The sequence below is a fragment of the Homo sapiens genome, chromosome 11 (genome assembly GCF_000001405.40).
Source record: "Homo sapiens chromosome 11, GRCh38.p14 Primary Assembly".
In the NCBI taxonomy this organism is placed as follows: Eukaryota; Metazoa; Chordata; class Mammalia; order Primates; family Hominidae; genus Homo; species Homo sapiens.
In genome coordinates, this window is record NC_000011.10 from 44236601 (window position 1) to 44259209 (window position 22609).

A 22609-nucleotide genomic window follows, 5' to 3' on the forward strand; every position below is an offset into this window, starting at 1 on the left:
AGTGGGCCTTAAGCTCCAGAAGCCAAATTCTCCATGTGGACTAAGCAGTTAACCATCTACAGTCATTGAGTGGAAGCTAGTTAATTCCAAGGAAATACTGGATTATTTTTCAGGGTAATAGCTCCACGTTATAGTAAAAGCTTGATTAGAAAGAATTAAACCAAACCCACCAGAGACAAATTACCTTTGCTGACACTATGGAAATGCCTGCCAAGAACAGGATCGAAAGCAAAGCCCTCATATTACAGACAGAGGGGCAAGACAGCTCTGAAATACTCTCTTTATTTCGATTCAAGTCAGTTTCTCAACAAGCACACCTTTGTGTGGAATGTAATCCTAGGCCTTGTAGGTAAGAATTAAAAGAGTGGGAGATGTATGTCTTCCGTTAAGACTATACTAGACCTAAGAGTTCTCACTTGTGCCCCAAAAGTCCCCAAGCTTTGAAGTGCCTGAATCAAGCCTAGTACTTTCAGAAGACAATTATTTATACAAGACAGCAAACTCTGACATCCCAGTAGTGCTTGTCAGGGGACCAAAATGCACTCAGATAAGGATATAGTAGCCTTTTAGAATGAAATATCTAGTTCAGATTTCACAGATCTCATATGCCTCTGCTTGCAGAATTCATTTCTGAAATCTGTCAGCTATATTAGAATTCTTCAAGCCTAGAGAATTTTTGTGTGTGTGTGCAGAAAGTTGTTTCAGTTGGCCTGGCTTCTATAATGTTTTACTCTCTAAATAACTTCTTTATCTTTTTCATGTATAAACATTACCCAGATGACATGACCTTTACCAGCTGTTGATGTGAAATAATATATTATCACTGGTTGATGTGAAATAATATATTATCACTGGTATCATAAGTATTTCACAGTTAAGGGTAGTGACATACACTGTCGTAGCTCCTTTGGAAGAGACCCCAATTGAACTTCTATTGGAGTACAAGAAATTGTTATTTAAACCTACCCCATTGTCTGTGGTTGGGGAAAATTCATAACAGTAAGCTAAGTGGTCATTAATAGGGCTGAGTTAAAATGGTGTATCGGATATATGGTCCAGGAAAGGAAGTATAGGAAGAAAAGTTGACCTGATGGTGGCCTTGAAGTTCATGCTGAGGCTAAACAACTCCTCTAGCACTACTGAGATCTTAACAAATGTAAAGAGGTTTAAAATGCAGTGAGAGCCAGGTGTGGTGGCTCACTCCTGTAATCCCAGCACTTTGGGTTACCAAGGCTGGTGGATCACCTGAGGTCAGGAGTTCAAGACCAGGCTGACCAACATGGTGAAACCCCGTCTCTACTTAAAAAAAAAAAAAAAAAAAAAAAAAAAACATACAAAGTTAGCTGGGTGTGGTGGCGCATGCCTGTAATCTCAGCTACTTGGGAGGCTGAGGCAGGAGAATCACTTGAATCTGGGAGGTGGAGTTTGCAGTGAGCTGAGATCGTGCCATTGCACTCCAGCCTGGGCAACAAGAGTGAAACTCCATCTCAAAAGAAAAAAATGCAGTAGGGAGATTTAATTTAGATATAATTATTATTAAACACTGGAGTGAGTAACTAAGGGAGATATGGAGGCTTCCTCTTTGGAAGATCTTTTTTATTATTATTATTAAGAGAAAGGATCTTGCTCTGTTGTGTGGTGATACAATCATGGCTCACTACAACCTTGAACTCCTAGGCTCAAGTGGTCCTCTCATCTCAGCCACCTGAGTAGCTGGGACTACAGGTGCGTGCCACCACGCTAACTAGTTCTTAAATTTTTTGTAGAGACAGAGTCTCAACATGTTACTCAGCCTGGTCTTGAACTCCTGGCCTCAAGGTATCCTCTCGCCTGGGGCTCCCAAAGTGCTGGGATTATAGGCATGATAGGATATGTTATGATATGTAGGATGTATAGTTAGGAGGAGATGCTGATGGAGGGATTGGAGCGAACTGTTGGACTTTTAACAGTGTCAAGGACCTTAACAGTGTTACATGTATATGTAACAATGCAATTTGTGATGAGCGCCCTGAGAGAGGCTCAAAGGGCTGTAACTGATCAGGTGAAAGAGAAGTAACTTTTTGCTAGGTTCATTGTTAAGAATAACTTTCTAAAAGAGGTGACACTTGAAGTGATCCTTCAAAAATCACTAGGATCCCAACTAGTAAAACCCTGGGCCAGAATCAGAGACTCTCAGCAGTGGAAACTGAATGGTTTGTCAAGGGTGCCTGATCAGCAAGTTCAACAAGAAGAAGCCCAATTTGGAGAGCTTAGAATGCTGGCCTATTAGTGCTGGACTCCAAAAGGCTTTGAATCCCCAAATAAGGAGCTAGATTTTTTTTTCCTTCAGGCTCTGGTAAGCTATAGAATTTTCGAACACGAGACTAGCTGGATCAAAGTATTGCTTTGAGATTAATTTGGAAGTAATGCACAGGGTGGAATGAAGAGTGAAGAGGTTGGAGAAAAGACTAGTTAGAACCTTTAACTAAGCTGCATGTGGAAAGGAAGGAACAAATTAAATTACAAGAGATTTTTTTTTCCCAAAGGGAGATGTACCTGAACTTGGTTTCCAACTGAAGAGATGTGGGGAGGCTATGAAGAAGGAGTTGACAAACATACCTTTAAGATTTTGAGTGGTAGTAGTACCTTCAGCAGTGTAATAGGTTTAGGAGGAGATGCTGATTAGGGGAGAGATTAGAGTGAACTGCTGGACCTCAGCAGTGTCGTTAATGGGGACAGGAGGTGATGTTAATCAGGGGTGAAGTTGGAGAATAATAAGATATGTGATTTGGGGGTCTTTCCCTCTGTATATACTTTTTTTTTTTTTTTTTTGAGACATAGTCTCACTCTCTTGCCAGGCTGGAGTTCAGTGGTGCAATCTCGGCTCACTGTAACCTCCGCCTCCCAGGTTCAAGTGATTCTCCTGCCTCCACCTCCCGAGCAGCTGGGACTACAGGCACGTGGCACCGTGCCCGGCTAATTTTTTGTATTTTTGTAGAGACAGGGTTTCACCATGTTGGCCAGGATGGTCTTGATCTCCTGACCTCAGGATCCGCCCACCTCGGCCTCCCAAAGTGCTGGGATTACAGGCATGAACCACCCTGCCTGGCTTTTTTTTTTTTTTTTTTTTTTTTTTGGAAGACCAGAGTTTTATTATTACTCAAATCAGTCTCTGTATATACTTTTATGTATGTATATCAAGATATAGATATGTGGAACTAGAATTTCAGAAAGAACTTTAAAAAAAAATGTTGAGCCCAGTCATCCCTCGGTATCCACAGGGGATTTGTCCCAGGACCTCTGGAGGATACCAATCTTCACGCATGCGCAAGTCCATTATATAAAATGGCCTAGGATTTGCATATAACCTTCGCATATCCTTCTTTATAGTTTAAATCATCTCTAGATTACTTACAATCCCTAATACAACATAAATGCTATGTAAATAGTTGTTACATGGCATTGTTTAGGGAAAAATGACATGAAAAAACTCTGTACATGTTTAGTATAGATGCAGTTTTTTTCCAGATATCTTTGATCCAAGGTTGGTTGAATCTACAAACATGGAACCCTTGGATATGGATGGCTAACTGTATTTGGCAGTCATCTGTCCAGAGACAGCAGTTGACTAAAGAAAAGCAAAGGCAGACTCTTGGGAAATTCTGGCATTTAGGAGACACAAAGAGTAACTGAAAACAGAGAGGCAACCACTGGAAAAGCCAGGAGAGAACCAGGATATACAGTGCTCAGAAGCATGGAAGGAACAAGGAACAGGCAGGCTGGAGAAGGTCTTTGAATTCAATGGTTGTTGGTACCTTACAAAAATAATAGCCAGGGGTGGTGGTAGGCACCTCTAGTCTCAGCTACTTGGGAAGCTGAGGCAAGGGGATCACTTGAGCTTAGGAGTTCAAGGCAGTATCACTCTACAATTGCACCTGTGTGAATAGCCACTGCACTCCTGCCTGGGCAACATAGCAAAATCCCTATCTGTAAAAAAATAATAATAATGTCATAGAGTATGAAGCCAAAGGGTTATAGAGTATGAGTCGACAGTGAGGAAGTAGAGTTAGTGAATGTAAACTATGCTTTTGAGAAATTTAACAGAGAATAGAAGGAAACAAATATGGAAATAAATTAGCAACTGGGAACAAAACTATTTATATTAAAAATTGAGTCACTGAATTATTAAATAAGGCATTTAGATAGGGAGGGAAGAAGACATGAGTTAAGCCATCTTGGGTAGATAAAGAGATGATGTTACAACTGTAGAATACATCCTTCCTTCCTCTTCCCTCCCCCTGTCTTTGGCTGGTCTCCTGGCCTCAGACAGGCCTCCTGCCTCAGCCACCTGAGTAGCTGGGATTATAAATATGAGCCACCATGCCCAGCTGTTTTATTTTTAATAATAATCTTTGCAGAATACACATTTTATGCAAAACAATGAAAGCAGTTAGCCACTTTACAAGTGTGTGTGACCTTGTGTTGGGTTTTGTGGTTCAGTAGCTCATTTATTCCTATATTTGGGGGTCTGGGATCAGAAATCTCAGTTGTATAGGAGAGTAGCTTCCATTACTACCCAGCTTCCATTTCCAGGATCCGCTGTTAGTTCTTTAAGAGTCAGAAGCATGTGTCGCTGTTCATTTTGACAAGTGTCTTCACCAAGGTTAGGGCAATATGACGGGCAGACAGTATTGACTTAAAAAAAAGAACATAGTATTTTGAATTAGGCTAATCTTTATTCAAATGATGAGTTTGCCACACTTATTAGCTGTCTGACCTAAGGAAATTGACTTTACCTTATCCGAACTTCAATCTGTTCATCTCCTAACATAGGGATATTAATATCTGTCAAATTACAATGTCCATTCATAGGTTCAACAAATATTTATTGAGCATCTTTATACCCAAGCTGTTATGTGTAGTGATAAATGAAGTAGTGATACATGAAAGCCTGTAGCACAGGGCCTGGGAATGTTAGTTTCCTTCCCGGTTTCCCCAGTGTTAGTCCTAAAGACTCCTGGTTACTTTAAGTAATGGTATGTGTTTGAAAGGAAAATAGAAAACCATTAGTTCTTTCTTCCCCAGACACCTTCATCACTTCAGAGAGAGTCACTGGCAGTTCTTGGTGTGTTTATACTTGATTGGAAAACCAACACAGGAGAATGGTTACTGACATGGTAGCTGGACCCCTGACAACAGCTCATGTGGGCCACCGGCAACCAGCCAAAGTCCTGTCTCCCCTAACCTGCTCTCCAACCCAGACCCCCTGTGTGAAAAAGTAGGAAGCACTGTTATTACCTGGCAGGAGAGTTAAGGACCTTGACCATTCAGTGGAGGCCTGCCGCTTCTCCAGTGTGGGCCTGTATGAAGGAGAAAGAAGTACTCACTAGACTTGGGTTAGCCAGGGGCAGCTGTCAACAAATCAAGCTGGCCTGAGCCCCAGTGGCTTCTTGCCTATGACCCATTCCTGTTGGCGGATCTAGTTACAGAGGAGACATTGTCCTCAATACTCTCTACAGGGCCTTGGAACCGCTATCCTCTGCCAAGAACCAGGATTCTTCTTTAATACGTACTTGCTAGTACCTATGCTGGGAACAGCTGGGCTTTGCCGGCCAGAGTCTGTATGCATAACTAGAAATGAGAAGAATCTGGACATATTTACAGGCGGAACAACAGTCAAAAGTAAAACCTTGGAGAGATTTGATTTTATCTGCCATGCTTTGACCCCATAATTTGAAGAGAGGGAAGCTGTTGTCCCACGCTTGGTCCACCTCACTTTGTTAAAGTTCATCCATCTTTTCCCAGTCTCCCTTCAATTTGGAACTAGGAACACCACCTCCTGAGTCTCAAAAGACTTCCAGCAGGAGGGACACTCAGTCACTGGCATGTAATGGTAGAGTGTGATCCAAAGAGCAGGCTCTATTGCCAGCTCAAACCTGAGTTTAAAACCCAGTTCCACCACATTCTACCCCTGGGTCCTTGGGCAAGTTACTTAACCTCTCTGAACCTTAATTTCTTAACCCATAACATGAGGCTACTATACACCCAATAGTTGGGCAAGGGGGGTGATGAGTATGGGGGAGGATTACTTTAAGCAATCCATGAGATATGTATGTAAATTATCTGTCACATAATAGGTGCTCAGCAGTTGTTAATTTCCAGTCCCCTTCATTGGACCCTAGAATTGTGTTAATAAGTACATTTGTATCATCTAATTAAGACTTTTGCCTCAGAAGCCAGAATGCCTGCTTTGGCTCTAGCTTTTTCTAGTTATTTGACCTTTGAACATGTTATTTATCCTCTCTGTATCTCAGTCTTCCCATTATAAAATGGGAATGATAGTCCTACCCCATAGGGTTGTTGTGAGGATTAAATGCATTATTAATGCATAGAAAGCAATTTTAACACAGCTTGGAACATACAGTAAATGGTAGTTGTTGCTTTGTGGTGTTGGTGGACATGATGATGTTATGAGTTAAAAGCTCAAAATGAAATAATAACAAATTTTTTTAGAAACATAATGACCAAGAGAGAAGTTTGTTCTTTTTGTAGTGCTCTCAGATGTCCTGGGCCCGACTGAGGCAAGAGTGTTGACCTTTCTGAAATCCATCCTTGAGGTCCCCTTGACTTCAAAAGCAGCTTTTCCAGGCGTTTTCCCTCTGGCCTAATGCTGAAGCGTCCTCATTACCCAGCTGTCACACTCAGTTGGCCTGATTGACCAGAGCCATTCCCGAACACATGCCTGACCTGCTCACCTCTGAGAAGGCTGACTTTGGGGGTGAGGTGGAGATAGGGAGACAGCCTCTCCCCTCCTCTGGCGGTGCTGTGCTGCACTGGCACTGAAGTAGTTGTTGCTAAAAGTTCTGACATGGGAGTGACAAAAATGATGAAAATTATGAAGGCTGTCCTATGTGAACTTCAGCTTTCACAGAAGATTGTGCAGATTGACATAATTCCCAGAAATTGCCACTTACAGGCCCTCTGTCAATGTTGGTTGAATGAATGAAGTGTTTATTGTTTGAAATTTGGCCCTGTCACCTTTTTTTTTTTTTTTTTTTTTTTTTGCCTTTCATCATTTTGTGAGCAAGATCTCTCCTCTGCCTTTTAAACTTCAGTAAACTGAAGCTCAGATCCAAGTAGTTTTTTTTCTTTCCATCCTTTGCCTTCTCTTAGCTGGCAGAGATGGGGTTAAGAATTGTTGGCAGCTAATCCACCTTGGTTTGAGGCCCTCTCACACTGAGCTGGAGGAATGACTGGAATTTGAGGGGGAGGGGAAAAGATACTCTGACCTTTGCAGGCCCGTGGCCTCCAAGCAGCATCTCCTGTTCACGTTCTCCCACTGAACTAATAGTCCAAGTACCCCCAGTTCACCGCTTTTTTCCACACCTGTCAACCTTTTTAAGAACCTGGGAGCAGACTGTGGCTACTTGAGCTTTTTTTGTTGATGTTGAACATTATGTATTTTGCTGTTATCTCTCAACCTCTTGAACATACTATCTTTTCTCCCTGCCCCCATCCTTCTCATTCTGCTCAAACCCCTCCTCCCCACCTCCTCTCCAAATCCCACAGGTCAGAGTGCATCAACAAGTTTGCTTCAGTCTTCGGGACCATGCCTCTCAAGGTGGTGGAACACCGAGCTGACCCTGTCCTGTACAAAGATGACTTTCCTGAGAAGCTGAAGAGCTTCCCCAACATTGGCAGCTTATGAAACGTGTCATTGGTGGAGGTCTGAATGTGAGGCTGGGACAGAGGGAGAGAACAAGGCCTCCCAGCACTCTGATGTCAGAGTAGTAGGTTAAGGGTGGAAGGTTGACCTACTTGGATCTTGGCATGCACCCACCTAACCCACTTTCTCAAGAACAAGAACCTAGAATGAATATCCAAGCACCTCGAGCTATGCAACCTCTGTTCTTGTATTTCTTATGATCTCTGATGGGTTCTTCTCGAAAATGCCAAGTGGAAGACTTTGTGGCATGCTCCAGATTTAAATCCAGCTGAGGCTCCCTTTGTTTTCAGTTCCATGTAACAATCTGGAAGGAAACTTCACGGACAGGAAGACTGCTGGAGAAGAGAAGCGTGTTAGCCCATTTGAGGTCTGGGGAATCATGTAAAGGGTACCCAGACCTCACTTTTAGTTATTTACATCAATGAGTTCTTTCAGGGAACCAAACCCAGAATTCGGTGCAAAAGCCAAACATCTTGGTGGGATTTGATAAATGCCTTGGGACCTGGAGTGCTGGGCTTGTGCACAGGAAGAGCACCAGCCGCTGAGTCAGGATCCTGTCAGTTCCATGAGCTATTCCTCTTTGGTTTGGCTTTTTGATATGATTAAAATTATTTTTTATTCCTTTTTCTACTGTGTCTTAAACACCAATTCCTGATAGTCCAAGGAACCACCTTTCTCCCTTGATATATTTAACTCCGTCTTTGGCCTGACAACAGTCTTCTGCCCATGTCTGGGAACACACGCCAGGAGGAATGTCTGATACCCTCTGCATCAAGCGTAAGAAGGTCCCAAATCATAACCATTTTAAGAACAGATGACTCAGAAACCTCCAGAGGAATCTGTTTGCTTCCTGATTAGATCCAGTCAATGTTTTAAAGGTATTGTCAGAGAAAAACAGAGGGTCTGTACTAGCCATGCAAGGAGTCGCTCTAGCTGGTACCCGTAAAAGTTGTGGGAATTGTGACCCCCATCCCAAGGGGATGCCAAAATTTCTCTCATTCTTTTGGTATAAACTTAACATTAGCCAGGGAGGTTCTGGCTAACGTTAAATGCTGCTATACAACTGCTTTGCAACAGTTGCTGGTATATTTAAATCATTAAATTTCAGCATTTACTAATACTGCACATGTGTGAATTATACCTCTTTAAGCCCAGTTGATGAACAAATCTACCCTGGCGAATGTTAAATGTTATGGATTCGAAACAGATTTATCTGGCTCTGATATTAAGATTAGCCACAGTTTGGGCTTTAGCCACAACATATGTCCCCAAAACACAAAATACATAACAATTTGCTTAGAATATGGATATAATTACAGAAACCTAGTTGTTTTGCCAGTCAGCGTCAGTCATACACCATCCATTGTTCTGTTGAGTGACATGAAGGTGGGCAGTTATTATGCTGTAGTTTCATCAAGAGTCACTTCAGATGTGTTCCCCAGACTTTGAGAGGTCAAAGAAAGTTTCAGAAGTAGCAAAGTTGGAAGTGGAAATCATAAGAGTTTTGTCTTCTTTCATTTGAATAAGTGATCGAATCATGGACTATTATTGCCAAAGGGGGCAAGCGATCATCTCATCCAGTTTGTTCATTTTGCAAATGCAGAAACTGAAGCTGCAGATGTTCATTTTGCAAATGCAGAAACTGAAGTGATTTTTTTCAGTTTCTGACAGCAGCAAACACAGGTGCTTACCAAATACTTTTGATTTGGGTAATGTGTACTGGTCAGTAGGAGACATGGGAAAGCATTTTGGTCTCATGTATTCATAATATTGGGGACGATATGGTAGAAAGCCAGGAAAAATATTTCTGTTGTCACCCAGGTACCAGAGGCTGACAAGCACAGTGAGGACCTCTAATCTTTCTAGGGGTTTTCTAGTTTGTTTTCCAAGATGTGGGGCAGGTATAGGGGAGGGTCTTACATTGAAATCTCTGCTGAAAGCTATGGACTGTGCTGGCATTGTGTATGTGTCATATTGCCCTGGTTTCTTCAAATTTCTGCCCTTTTGCTCATCATCGAATGCACTACCTTAGTGGCTGGTTTCTAATGCAGCTTCTCTCCCAAAGGGTACATTTTTAAATTTTTATTTTTTAAAATCTTGAGAGTCCTTTGATTTGGGAAGAGGAACTCTTTCATCTGAGTTCATTGTGAGCCCTAGAGAGCTGTGTGACTTTATCATCGTCATAGGAGTCATTGGACTTTAAAGGCATTACAACTCCATTTAAAGTACCTCATTACTCCCAGGAATATTGGGTGTTAGATCTTGCAACACAGCATAAAACAATTTATGTTAAAGAAGGAGCATTATATCCTAGGCACTTGAAACAACCTCAAAGGTGATGTTACCCTATGAACAGATAGGTGGTACAGTCACCGTAGAAATTCAAGACAGGGATATAGCAGGTGATGGCGATTCATGGATTCAGAGTGGGCTAGGGACTCCACTTTATTGTTCGTGTATTTCTGAGCTGCTAACCAGCAAACCTCACCCATAAGCTTAGGTCAGGATCATCTGTCCTCGGGATGCCATAGAGCCTGGTTTCAGAAGCAGAACAATCATGCTAATTAAAATGTCGTGTTCTGGCCTACAGCAGACAACAGCTGGTTTTAGATTAAGAAATCTTTTTAAAGAAACACATCTTACTGGCCTATAGAGAAGACGAACTTGAACTGGCCCTGGCCCAAGTGCACACTGAGCCACTGGCTTTGCCCCCAGGGGCCTAACTGGGATGGGCCTGCTTGGAATGCCAGGGCTGGAAATACTTTTTTATTTTGCTGATTAACATTACATAGTTGTTAAAATGTTTATCTCATGTATTTTACCAACCCTCACACATTTAGGTATAAACCTCCTTTTCTGGGAGAATTAAAGAGAAAAACAGCAACTTTAGTTGTCAGAATCTTGTGTTCTTTCCTGCCAGTGATGCTCTGCTGTATCCTTTTTTTTTTTTTTTTTTTTGAGACAGAGTCTTGCTCTTGTCACCCAGGCTGGAGTGCAACAATAGCATGGTCTCGGCTCACTACATCCTCCGCCTCCCAGGTTCAAGTGATTCTCCTGCCTCAGCCTCCTGAGTAGCTGGGATTACAGGCGCTTGCCACCACGCCTGGCTAATTTGTTTGTAATTTTAGTAGAGGCAGGGTTTCACCACGTTAGCCAGGCTGGTCTCGAACTCCTGACCTCAGGTGATCTGCACGCCTTGACCTCCCAAAGTGCTGGGATTACGGGCGTGAGTCCCCACGCTCAGCCACTGTATCCTTTACTCAGTGTCATCAAGTTCAAAGCTCTGACCACCCTGGTTTCTCTGCCAAAGCCTCATCTACTTCCAGCTGGGCTTTGAACTTGTGGTTTTTAAGTGCTGGTTTCTCTGCTGCCTTTGGAAAATAGTGACCATCATGCTGGTCTGTGCTGACGCAGACTGGGAGCTGGAAGAGACAAGCTCCCTCTTTGCTCTCATTGGCCAAAGATGTTGCTAATAACCCTGTGATCCTAGCTTCCTTCTAGGATGATAGCCTCTGACAGGCACCATGCCAGGAGGAAACTAGAGCGTCTTTATCACTGAAAGATAGCACGTTTCTAGCCACAGGTTCTGAAGTTGATTTGAGGTTAAAATCCAAGAACCTTTGATAGTTTTCAGCCAAGATAGTAATCAGAAAGTAGATGAAGCAGAGACTGGGTTTGGGAAGTGGTTGGGTTCTGGGAAGGCTCTTCCTAGCTCTGCAGTTAGATCCTGTGAGGACCCAGCTGATAGAGTAAAGGCTTTGGGTGTTGGAGACTTCCCATCAGCCACCCATCATGAGCCTGGTGTGTTTCCTTTGCTTTGTAGCTCCTTTGGGGGTATGCTGCTTTTTCCATTTCTCTTGGCTCGGGTACTCTTCCATTGCAGCAAGAGAAGCCACAGTGGGCTGTTCCCCAAGCAGCCCTGGCACAGAGAGGCAGAGTAGAGAATGCTAAACTGGCCCCATGTCTCCTCCAGCCACTTCCTGAGGAGCAGTTCTGGCAGGAGTGTTAACCATATTGGCAGCAGCTTCCATCCAGAGAGACTTTGAAAGCAACTTGAGCTTTCCACTGCAGGGCCTGGAGGCATATGAAACCTGTGGGGCCTGCCCCTACTCACCTCACCCCTGAGCTCTGTCCAAGCCCTGGACCTCCTGTCCTCGGCCTGTGTTTGGTACTCACCCACTTTCTACTTCTGAGTAGAATCAAGGGCAGCATTTGGTCCCATTATACCAGCCATGCATCATCTGTGAACAGGCCTTATTGAGCTTATCTTGGCAGAGGAAAGTCAGGCAGGCAAGACCCACTCTAAATTTTAATGTTTCCCCCTCATTTTAGGGTGGGAGCTGTGAGTTCATCTGAAGACTGGGTGAGGGCATTGTAAGCTCAAGCCACAGCCTCTTTTCCACCTCCATTAAATGGACTGTTAGGGATGCCCAGCTTCCCCAATTTCCTGGGAGGGTGTGTGGGTCTGTACAGGCAACCTTGTGTCATTCTTTCAATTTCCGGCTCACCATTGCTGGCAACAGTGGGAAGATGACCAGAGAAAGTTTGGCCCCCTCTCCCAAGCTTCCAGGCCTCTTTCCTTTTCAAGAAATAGTTGAGTCACCAGCATCTGTATCTGGCATTTTGTTTCTTCACATTTGCAACCATTTCAGGGTAGAGTTTTTTTGTTTGTTTGTTTGTTTGTTTTTGTTTTTTTTGTTTTTTCTTTGGAAACAGAGTCTCACTCTGTCCCATAGGCTGGAGTGTAGTGCTGTGATCATGGCTCGCTGCAGCCTCAAACTCCTGGACTCAAGCAGTCTTCCCATCTCAGCCTTCCAAGTAGCTGAGACTAAAAGCGTGCACCACCACACCTGGCTGATCTTTTAATTTTTTTGGAGAGACAGGGCCTCACTATGTTGCCTAGGCTGGTCTCTAACTCCTGGGATCAAGTGATCCTCCTGCCTCAGCGTCCCAAAGTGTTGGGATTACAGGTGTGAACCACCATGCCTGGCCCAGGATAGCACTTTTTCCTTTCTTCTGCTCTCAGTTGGTTGGACCACTGGTTGCATCTCTTCCCACTCTCCCTGAAAGGCACAGAACTATCAGACAGAAGACAAGGTAGTTCTCAAGAAGTACCAGGCAGCTGTGTCTGCTAGAGGCTTCCTCAGCAAAGCCCCATCTTGTGGACAACCTCTCAGGAATTGCAGGTGGTGTGGGAGTGGCTGACAGAGGAGGGATCCATATGTCTTAGACCAAAGCCACCAGTCAGGCCTTGCCACCATATAGAACCTTCCCTTTAGAATATATTTATTTGGAATTTTACTTATAGCTGCAAATATATCATTGGCTACTATACCCAAGCATCAACTCAAGGAACATTTGGTTTTCTGGTGAGCACAGCTGAAGACCAACCAACTAGTTACTGATCCAGATGAGGGAAGAGAACATTTATTCAGTCATTCTGTTATGCTAACTATTCATTTTCTCATGAAAATGTAGTCTTTGGCTGGGCATGGTGGCTCATGCCTGTAATCCCAGCATTTTGGGAGGCCAAAGCGGGCAGATCATGAGGTCACGAGATCGAGACCCTCCTGGCTAACACGGTGAAACCCCATCTCTACTAAAAATACAAAGAATTAGCCGGGCATAGTGGCAGGCACCTGTAGCCCCAGCTACTCGGGAGGCTGAGGCAGGAGAATGGCGTGAACCTGAGAGGTGGAGCTTGCAGTGAGCTGAGATTGTGCCACTACACTCCAGCCTGGGCGACAGAGCAAGACTCCGTCTCAAAAGAGAAAATGTTGTCTTTGCCAGGCAGTGTGGTAGGCCCAAGAGATATAGCAATTAGAGTTGACTAAGACAGTGTCCCTATCCTGTTCTTGAGCTCCAGTTCTAGTGGGAGTTCTTGAGCTTGGTAAGATGATGTGAGTCCATCAGTGGCCCAGGACTCTAAGCATGTATGTTTTAGTCCCAGCTGTAAATGAGGATTCCATTAACCCCATCTTCTCCAATGTATGGAGGATGCAAGAAGCTTTAAAATGTCCTTTTCTCACAGTGACTTCCCTTGACCATGCCTTAGTTTCCTCAGCCAGAAATTGGAGACAGCAAGAGCACTTATGCCTGAGTTGGTGAGATGGAATGATGTATCATATCTCTTCCCCTTTTATTAACCAGATCGTTTACCAGATTGTACCTGGTGATGCTGGCAGCCAGCCCTCTTCCGGCCCCTATTTCTGCTTACCGTGTTACCAGAGAGCCTGGGGGTCTGGATCCTATCTGGCCCCGTCAGGGTGGATTACCAAATGAGCAGTTCTCTTGCCCCAGTCCCTTTCCTGTGCTATAAATAAGCCCCATGTTTATTTTCTTATGTTATTGAAATGAGCACTTGTGATTTGGGCCTCTTTTGAGGAGTCCAGAGAGCGTCCATCCGGTGCCTGGTGAGGGCCCTGCATGGCTGGCTGCTGTCTGAAGCTATTTGGAGTCCTCTCCCTGTGTTTTCTATGTGGCTTAATTTCAATAGAAAGGGTTATATGCAACCCTGTATCTGCTGATTTTCAGGTTTCAACTTTCTGCCAGCGTCACTGCCTGCTTAGAAGTAAAGTTATGTTTCTCATTAAGGGGATAACAGCCACAATTGAGGTAATTAACGAAAATTGTACATTGGTGGCAGCACCTCCTATAGGATTTCCAATAGTCTTTCTCTAGTAGATCATTGGGGGCTCACCTTGATCTCCTCTCTTCTGTCTACCCTGCACCAAAATACCTTGTCCTGTTTTCTGGATATAGTTCCAATAATTTTTTTCCTAACAGCCTTTTTGTCACCAGTTGGTTTGATATCTTACAACTTGGCCAAATGAGGGTTCCATTAACTCCATCTTGTCTAATGCATGGAGAATTCAAGGATTTTTTTTTTCTCTTTTCATAGCACCTTCCAGTTGCCAGTTGTACCCTGGCCCTTCTTTGGAAGTCATAATGATGAATATCCATTAATAAGAGATTGATGCTCTTTCAACTCTCATGTCATCTATACCATCTCAGTGGAGAGGATGACTTTGGATGAGGTTGGAATAGAAAGGAAACATTTGGAAGTCCACTGCAGTGTATTATATGCTGTGTGGAAGTCTGGGGGTTAGGAAATACCTGGAGGGAGAACTTCCTAAGAAATGATTTTTGGTTCTTTTAGGCCTTAACAGCACAATAAAAGTATCCCATGAGACCATTATGAGCAGGACACGACATTGTTTCACACCTTGGGCTGTGACTATTTACTTCTCGGTACAGATTACTCTGGTTAAATCACTCAGTAAAGAAATCTTTTCATGCTCACAATCTGAACCTGAAGGCTATTACTGAAGAGAATTGCATCTGACAACAAAATTTAATTTACTTCCAGAGAAAGGACCAGAAGAAAGTAAATTTTCATTTATGTTTTTAAGTCTATTGTCTTAAAAAGATTCTTTTCCCTTAAAAAATAAAAAAACCTGATGTGATGGGTTCCTTCAGTCAACAAATACTTATTGAGCAGTTATTGTGTGCCAGATACTGTTCTTGGTGTGAGGATATGGCACTGAACAAAACAATGTACCTACTTTCGTCAAGCTTACATTCTAATGAGGAAGATAACCAAAACAAGTGACTGAATATAATTTCAAATGTCAATAAATGCTGTGAAGAAAATAAAGCAGAGTATTATATGTGGATAATGACTTGGAAATATTTTAGGTAGGTTGATCAGAGGTGATATTTAAGCACAAATGTAAATGTTGAGGAGTGAACCATGAGCACACCAGGCAGAGGGAAGAGCTGGTATAAAGACCCTCAGGCAGGAACAAGCTCAGCTTATTTTAAGAACTGTAAGAATAATGTCTGAAGCATATTGAGTATGGAGAGCATGATAAATGATGATGCCAGAAAGGTAGGCTGGTACCAAATTGTGTTAGGATCATATGGGCCAGAAGGATTCTAGAGTCTTACTATGAGTGTGATGGGAAGACACTGGATAGTTTTAAGCAAGAGAGTGACATATCTGAATGGCATTTTTAAAAAGGTTATCCCTGCTACTGAGTGGACAGTAGGCTGTAAGGAGCAAGAGTAGAAGAAAGGAATTCAGCTAGGACACTCTTAGGGACCCCAAAAAAGAAATGGTGACCTAAACTAGGATGGTAGCAGCAGAGGTGGTGAGAAGTTATATTGGAAGTAGAGTTTATTGGATGTACTGATGAATTAAATTTAAGAGATGAAAACAAAAGAGGATTCACAGGTAACTCCAAGGTTTTTATCCTTAGTAACTGCATGATACCATGAGCTGAAATGTGTCAGACTGAACAGGGTGAGGGCAAGGAAATGTTGAGAGAGAAAAATCAAGAGCTCTACTTTGAACATGTTAAGTTTAAGATGTCTATTGGACATCTAAGGTATAGTGTCATTTAAACAGTTGGTTATCTAGAGCTCAGAGGAAAAGTTATGACTGAAAATAAAGATGGGATTTAAAACCCTAGGACTTGATAAGATTACCCAGAGAATTAGTGTAGTTAGAAAGGCGACAAGGATAGGGGCCCAAGTACTAGGCCCACTCTAACATTTACAGGTAGAGAATAAAAAGAAAAACCAGCAAAGGAGACGAAGTAGTTGCCAGTGAATTAGGAAGAAAACCAGGAAGGTGTCTGTAGGATACCTGTGATAAATTAAAAGTGCATGCTGTAAACTCTAGAGCAACCACTAAAAATCACTTTTAAAAGAGACAAGGCTAATAAGGCAATACTGGAGATGGAATATCAAAAATATACTCAATCAGAAAGCAGGAAAAGAAGAGTAAACAAAGGACAAAAGGAACAAATGGAAACAAAGAGCAAGATAGGGTTAAACCCAAACATGTCACCAATTACATTAAATGTAAATGATCTAAACACTGTAATTAAAGGGCAGAGATTATCAGGCTGAATTAAGCAGCAAGAGCAATTACATGCTGTCTACAAGGAAAACCCCTATAAAGTTAAGTTTAAAAAGTAAAAGGGTAGAAAAGATGTACTATACAAATATTAGTCATGAAAAAGTGAGAGTGATTATATCATCAGGGAGCAAGAGGAACATTTCATAATGATAAAGAGGCCCATTCATCAAGAAGACAGAACAAGATAATCCTAAAAATGTGTGTGCATTAAATAACAATGCCTCAAAATATATAAATCAAAAATTAACACTGAAAGAGAAGTCGAAAACCCACAATTATATATAGATGTTTCAATGCTCCTCTCTCAGTAACTGATATAACAAGTTGATAGAAAAATGTAGATGACATGAATAACACTGTCAACAACGTTGGCTTAATTGACAGTTACAGAACGCTTCATCTGCGTAGCTGAATACACATTCTTCTTAAGTGCACATGCAACATTTACCTCAAATGTGTTACACAAAAATAAGTCTCAGTAATTTTAGAGGAATTGAACATTAAAAAGTTACCTGACCGCAGTGAAGTTAAATTAGAAATCAATAACAGCTATCTGAGAATATCCTAAATAGTTAGGAATTAAATCACGTTTCTAAATAATGCATGGATTAATAAAGACACAAAGGAAATTAGAAAATATTTTGAGTAAAAATGAAAACTGTATTAAATTTGTAGGGTACTTAGAGATTTATAGCTTGAAGAGTTTAAATTAGAAAAAAAGTCTACATTAAGAAACTAGGAAAAGGAGCAAAATAAACCCAAAGTAAGTAGAAAGAATAAAGATAAGAACAGAAACCAATGGAGTAGAAAATGGAAAACAATGGAAAAAATCAAAAACTGGTTCTTTGTAAAAGATTAATAACTGCTCAAGACCGCTAAAGGAAAAAAAAAGGAACTAAGATACAAATTACAGTATCAAGAATCAGAGGGCAACATTGGAACAGATTCTAAACATATTAAAAGGACAATACATTGCTATGATCTGAATTTTTGTGAGCCTCCCCACACACAACCCCACTCCACTCCAAGTTTATGTGTTGAAACTTAATCCCCAGTTCACTGGTGTTGGCAGGTGGGGCATCTGGTGGGTAATTAGCTCATGAGCAGAGCTGTCATGAATGTGATTAGTGTCATTATAAAAGAGACCTGAGAGAGAGCTCATTGGTGCCTTCTACCATGTGAGGACACTTAGAAGGTGCCATCTATAAGGAGTGGGCCCTACCCAGACACCAAATCTGCCAAAACCTAGATCTTGGATTTTCCAGCCTCCAGAACTGTGAGCAATAAATTTCTATTGTTTATAAATTACCAGTCTAAGATATTTTGCTATAGCAGCCCAAACAGACTAAGAAATATGAACTTTATAACAATAATTTCTGTAACTTACATGAAATGAGCACAATCCATGAAAGACACAAATTGACAAAACTGCCTGAAGAAGAAATGGAAAATCTGAATACCCTTGTATCTGTTAAAGAAATCTGTAATTTAAAATGTTTTGCAAAGAAATACCTATGTCCATATAGTTTTACTGGCTAATTCTATCAAACAATTAAGGAAGAAATAATACCAATCTTATTCAAACCCTTTTCAGAAAATAGAAGGGGAGGAAGTATGTTTCAATTAATTTTAAGTGGCCATTATTACCCTGATACCAAAGCCAGATAAAAACCTTACAAGAAGAGAACTGCAGACCAGTAGCCTTCCTGAACATAAATGCAAAATCCTTAACAAAATATTGGCAGATTGATACAGCAAGACTAAAGAATACAAAGTTGGCTGAATGTTGGAAAATCAATGTAATTCACAATAGAGTAAAAGAGAATATTTGTGTGATTGTCTCACTAGATATAGAAAAAGCATTTGACAAAATTCCATACCGGGATTGTTTAAAGAAAAAAAAAAAACGTAGAAAACATATCCACACAAAAACTTGCACACAAATGTCCATAGCCAGCTGTATTCAGAATAGCCAAAAGCTGGAAATAAGTCAAATGTTCAAGAGCAGATGAATGGATAGACAAATTCTGGTATATCCATACAATGAAATACAGCTCAGCAATACAAATACTGAACTACTGAGTGACACAACATGGATGAGTTTCCAAAACAGGTGAGCAAAAAAAAAAAAATGTCAGACACAAAAGAGTACATACTATATGTATGAAGTGTTGATTTAAAAAAGAAAAAAAAGCTGATGGTTAAAAAATATCATCTTCTCAGTTCCTTGGTTTTATCCTGGACTGGTATATCTTTCCTTCCTTAACCTGGGTGTTTACTTAGGGCCTCAGGATCTAGAATGCCTCCAGTCCCATTGCCTCAGTCTGGTGCGTTCTTGGTATGGAATGCAGACTTGCCAGCAAGGCGGCTGACATTTATTAAATGCTGGCCATGTGAGGGATGCCGTGCCAGGTGCTTCAGATAAACAGGCAAAGGAGACATCTTTTCCACCTTCAAGGAACTCATCGTTGAATTGATAAACACAGGAGATTAATCAGTTATAGTCCTATCTGCTGTATAAGGCAGTGCATGACAAAGGGCAAATTGCACACATTCCCCACTGTGGAGGGAGAGTAGGATTATTTCTGACTTGGTCAAAGAGGTAGCACTTGAAGGGGCTGTGAAGAGTTAATATATGAAGATGGGCATTAGGTGGACAGGGGTGTGTTGACCGATAACCCTCCTGAACATAATTGCAAAATCCTTAGCAAATAGAGATGCATGTTGGGGCAGGCATTCGACCTGAGGGGAGTGAAAGGAAACAAGAAGATGGGAAAATATAAAGGATGTCCTAGGTTTTCAGGAGCACAGAGCCCAGACTGGGGAATTAGAAACAGCAAGGCTGAACAGGAGTTGAGGGCTATATGAAAGAGCCGGAACTCCAGTCTGTAGGCTGTGTGAAGGTGTTCAGGTTAATGTGCTGGTAAAGGATGGATCAGAGCTGGGTTTTGGCATCCCTATTATTGATGGAGTGGACCAGGGAGAGACTGGGAATTAGATGTAACCACTTAGCAGTAGCCTGGGTAGAAAGTGAAAGGGCACTGAACCAGATAGGCTGCTGGGAATGCTGAGACCCTTTTGGATATGGGGATGGGAAAAGCAGCCCCCTGTCCATTTCTGTGCCTTCCTCTCACCCCTATAACACATACCAGCCACACTGCTTGTTGTGTGCCCTCCCTTCATATACTGAAGCCCTAACCCCCAATGTAACTGCATTTGCAGATAGCGCCTTTAAAGAGGTAATAAAGGTTAAGTGAGGTCACAAATGTGGAACCCTACTCCAATAAGACTGGTGTCCTTAAGAGAGGAAGGGGCACCAGACCTATCTACATGTGTACACAGAGGAAGGGCTATGTGAGGACACAGAAGGCAGTCTTCTATTAACATAAGCCAGAAAGAGGCCAGAAACCACATTTGCCAGCACCTTGATCACGGACTTCTGGCCTCCAGAACTAGGAGAAAATAAATGTCTGTTAGCCACCCACTGTGTGGTATTTTGTTATGGCAGCCCAAGCAGATTAATACACTACTCTCCCCCAGGTCCCTCACTGCCTCCCCACCCCCGCCCATCTGATAAACATAATATCGGATGTTCCCAGTGCTCCATAGTATGGTGTCACTCTTGTGAAGCAGTTATCCAATGTTTGGCACCCTGCCCTTAGCCACTTGGATGGAAGTCAACCCTTTGGCCTTCCCAGCCTCCAGTGTGCATGATTCCCCCACTGTACAACTCTTCACTATTTTCAAATATTTTAACTTTTGGACTTTGTAACCACCTGATGAGATAAGCAGGAAACAGTTGGCTATCCCCATTTTACAGAAGAAAAAATTGAAAATGAAAGCATTTTTGTGGCTTGCCGAAGGTGACAGAGGTAAGTTTCAAAGTCAGATCTTAAACTCATGTCTCCTGTCTCTTGCTTCACCACGTGGGTTCCTGGCCAGTGCTCTCCCATGCTTTCAACTGGACAGTGCTTTCTGTCCATACCTATCTTGGAGAAGAGCTATGGTTTGCCTTGTGTTTCATTCTTCCTTAGGCTTTTATCCCCTTCCCCTGTCCTCTCAACACACACACACACACACACATACACACTCTCATTTATTTTCATTCTTTCCCATGGTGTAGCTTGGCCCTACTATCATAGCTACAGGGAGCCCCTTCCTTTCCAGAAGCGCCTGGAAATTACAGAGGTACGCTGTGGGTAGAGGACAGAGAAGGGATGGAGAGGGGGCTTGTGATGCAACCAAAGAGAAATCCCAGGAGGCAAGGCAAGAACACTGTGTCCTCTGCACATCTAAGAACCACATCCTGATTGGGGTTCCGGGCAGATCTCATGCAGGCAGTACAGTGGGTTTTCTCCCAACTAGTTAAGGCAACACCTTAACACATGGTGTACACATGCTCATAAATTGAAGCTCCCTGTGGAGGTTTGCCCTTCCTCAAGCCTGTTGGTCTTTGTTGAGCTTAAAAAAAAATCTGTTTGGAATCACACAGAATTCCTGGGAAAATTTCAACTCTCACACCCCATTGTCTTCTGGCGCTAACTTGCATCTTCTCACTTGTGCACATACACAGTTTGCCGTCAGCCCTATTTTGGGGAACTGGCTATTTGTGGAGAGCCTATTGTTCCTTAGCTGCTGAGCATGCAAGTCTAGACCTGTGGAAGGAGAGGTACCACCACCACTCCACGCCCTGCTCGCCAGATTGAAGATTCTGCTGTCACATGGCCCAGCCAGCTTGTGGAGCCCTGGGGTTGGCTGTGTTGCCTGTAGCAAGACCTGGGACAATGGGATTGGTGATGAGCTGAAGGCAAGAGTGGTTTCTGCTGGGGTTGGCACCAAGGCAGGAAAGGAGCTGTCTTCAGCCAGTCGCTGAAGCTGGAGTTGAGAGTGGAGGGCTTAAGGGCATGAGGATTATCCAGGGATGCTGGAGAAAGTGGGCTTTGAGCCCAGGGACAAGTCGAGAAGCTTCCAGATGTGCACTCTTGGACACAGGACCTCTTGCGCCATCTTGGGGAGCTGGCCTGGTGCTGACCAGTGCTGTCCCAACCCCGGCAACACTAAATAAACAGGCCAGGTTTACTGCCGTGGCCACAGCTCATCTTGAATGCATGTGAACCCTGGAGGAATGGGGTGGATGAGGTTCATGGTCAAGCAGAGGCTCTGACACTCCAGGAAGATCTCTAGTGGGCTGAGTCAGCTTCCAGCTGTCTGTAAAACGAATCCCTGAGTGTCCTCTGACCTCCCTCCTCCCACCCTTAATCAAAACAGAGCATCTCTTTATTCTCACCTTCCCATTCATTCACTCATTCGCACATTACCTAACATTCTTATTCTCTCAGGCATTCGGATGTGAACACAGCCTGTCTCCTCTTTGGGATGTGAGGAAGTCAGATGGATAAATAGATATACGGTATCATGTGCCATCATGGTATTATGACACAAACAGTTTTGTGGAGGCCAGAGGGGCAGCCTTTGACCTAGGGGTGGAAGTTGAGGTGAGGGCATGGGCTTAAGAAAGAGCTTCACAGAGGGTGCTATCATTTGGAGGATACACTGCAGAGTGGCTGGGTGCATTGGAGGGGATCTAGGGAGGAGATAGAGGCATTCTAAGAAGAGATAGCAAGTCCAGTGGTGTGGCCAGGTGAAAAGGCCTAGATGGCTTGGGGAACAACAAGCTGTGCTGGGTGGTCAGACCCAGTGAAGGGCTGAGCCGTAGTCCACAGTCAGAGGAGGCCCTGCTGGCCCTGGCCTTGTCGTTGTTCTCCCCAGAGACCACTTGGAGGCACAGGTCCCAGGGGTGGGCTACCTGCATCCCCCGTGATGCCTAAGTCACACATCAGGCCAGTCTTCCTCTTCAGCAGTGGTGCTCATCTGGACTCTGAAGGATTTGGGGGGTGCTCAGCTCCCACAGGAAGAAGCAGGGGTGTGAGGTAGAGACAACACCCCGTGGTTTCGCATGTGGTTTGCACATGGCTTTT

At 43.0% G+C, this 22609-nt stretch overlaps 1 protein-coding gene across 9 annotated transcripts in view; it reads left to right on the top strand.

Moving 5' to 3' along the window:
• The window catches only part of EXT2 (exostosin glycosyltransferase 2), a 156285-nt gene extending 140923 nt beyond the window's left edge, over positions 1-15362 (top strand). For 8 of the 9 annotated variants that reach the window (XM_047426529.1, NM_001389630.1, NM_001178083.3 and 5 more), the window contains one exon: positions 7549-15362. In XM_047426529.1, coding sequence (XP_047282485.1) covers positions 7549-7687 — 139 coding nt within the window. In that variant the 3' untranslated portion in view covers positions 7688-15362. The remainder of the gene's footprint in view (positions 1-7548) is intronic. The other variant, NM_000401.3, reaches the window with a different exon arrangement.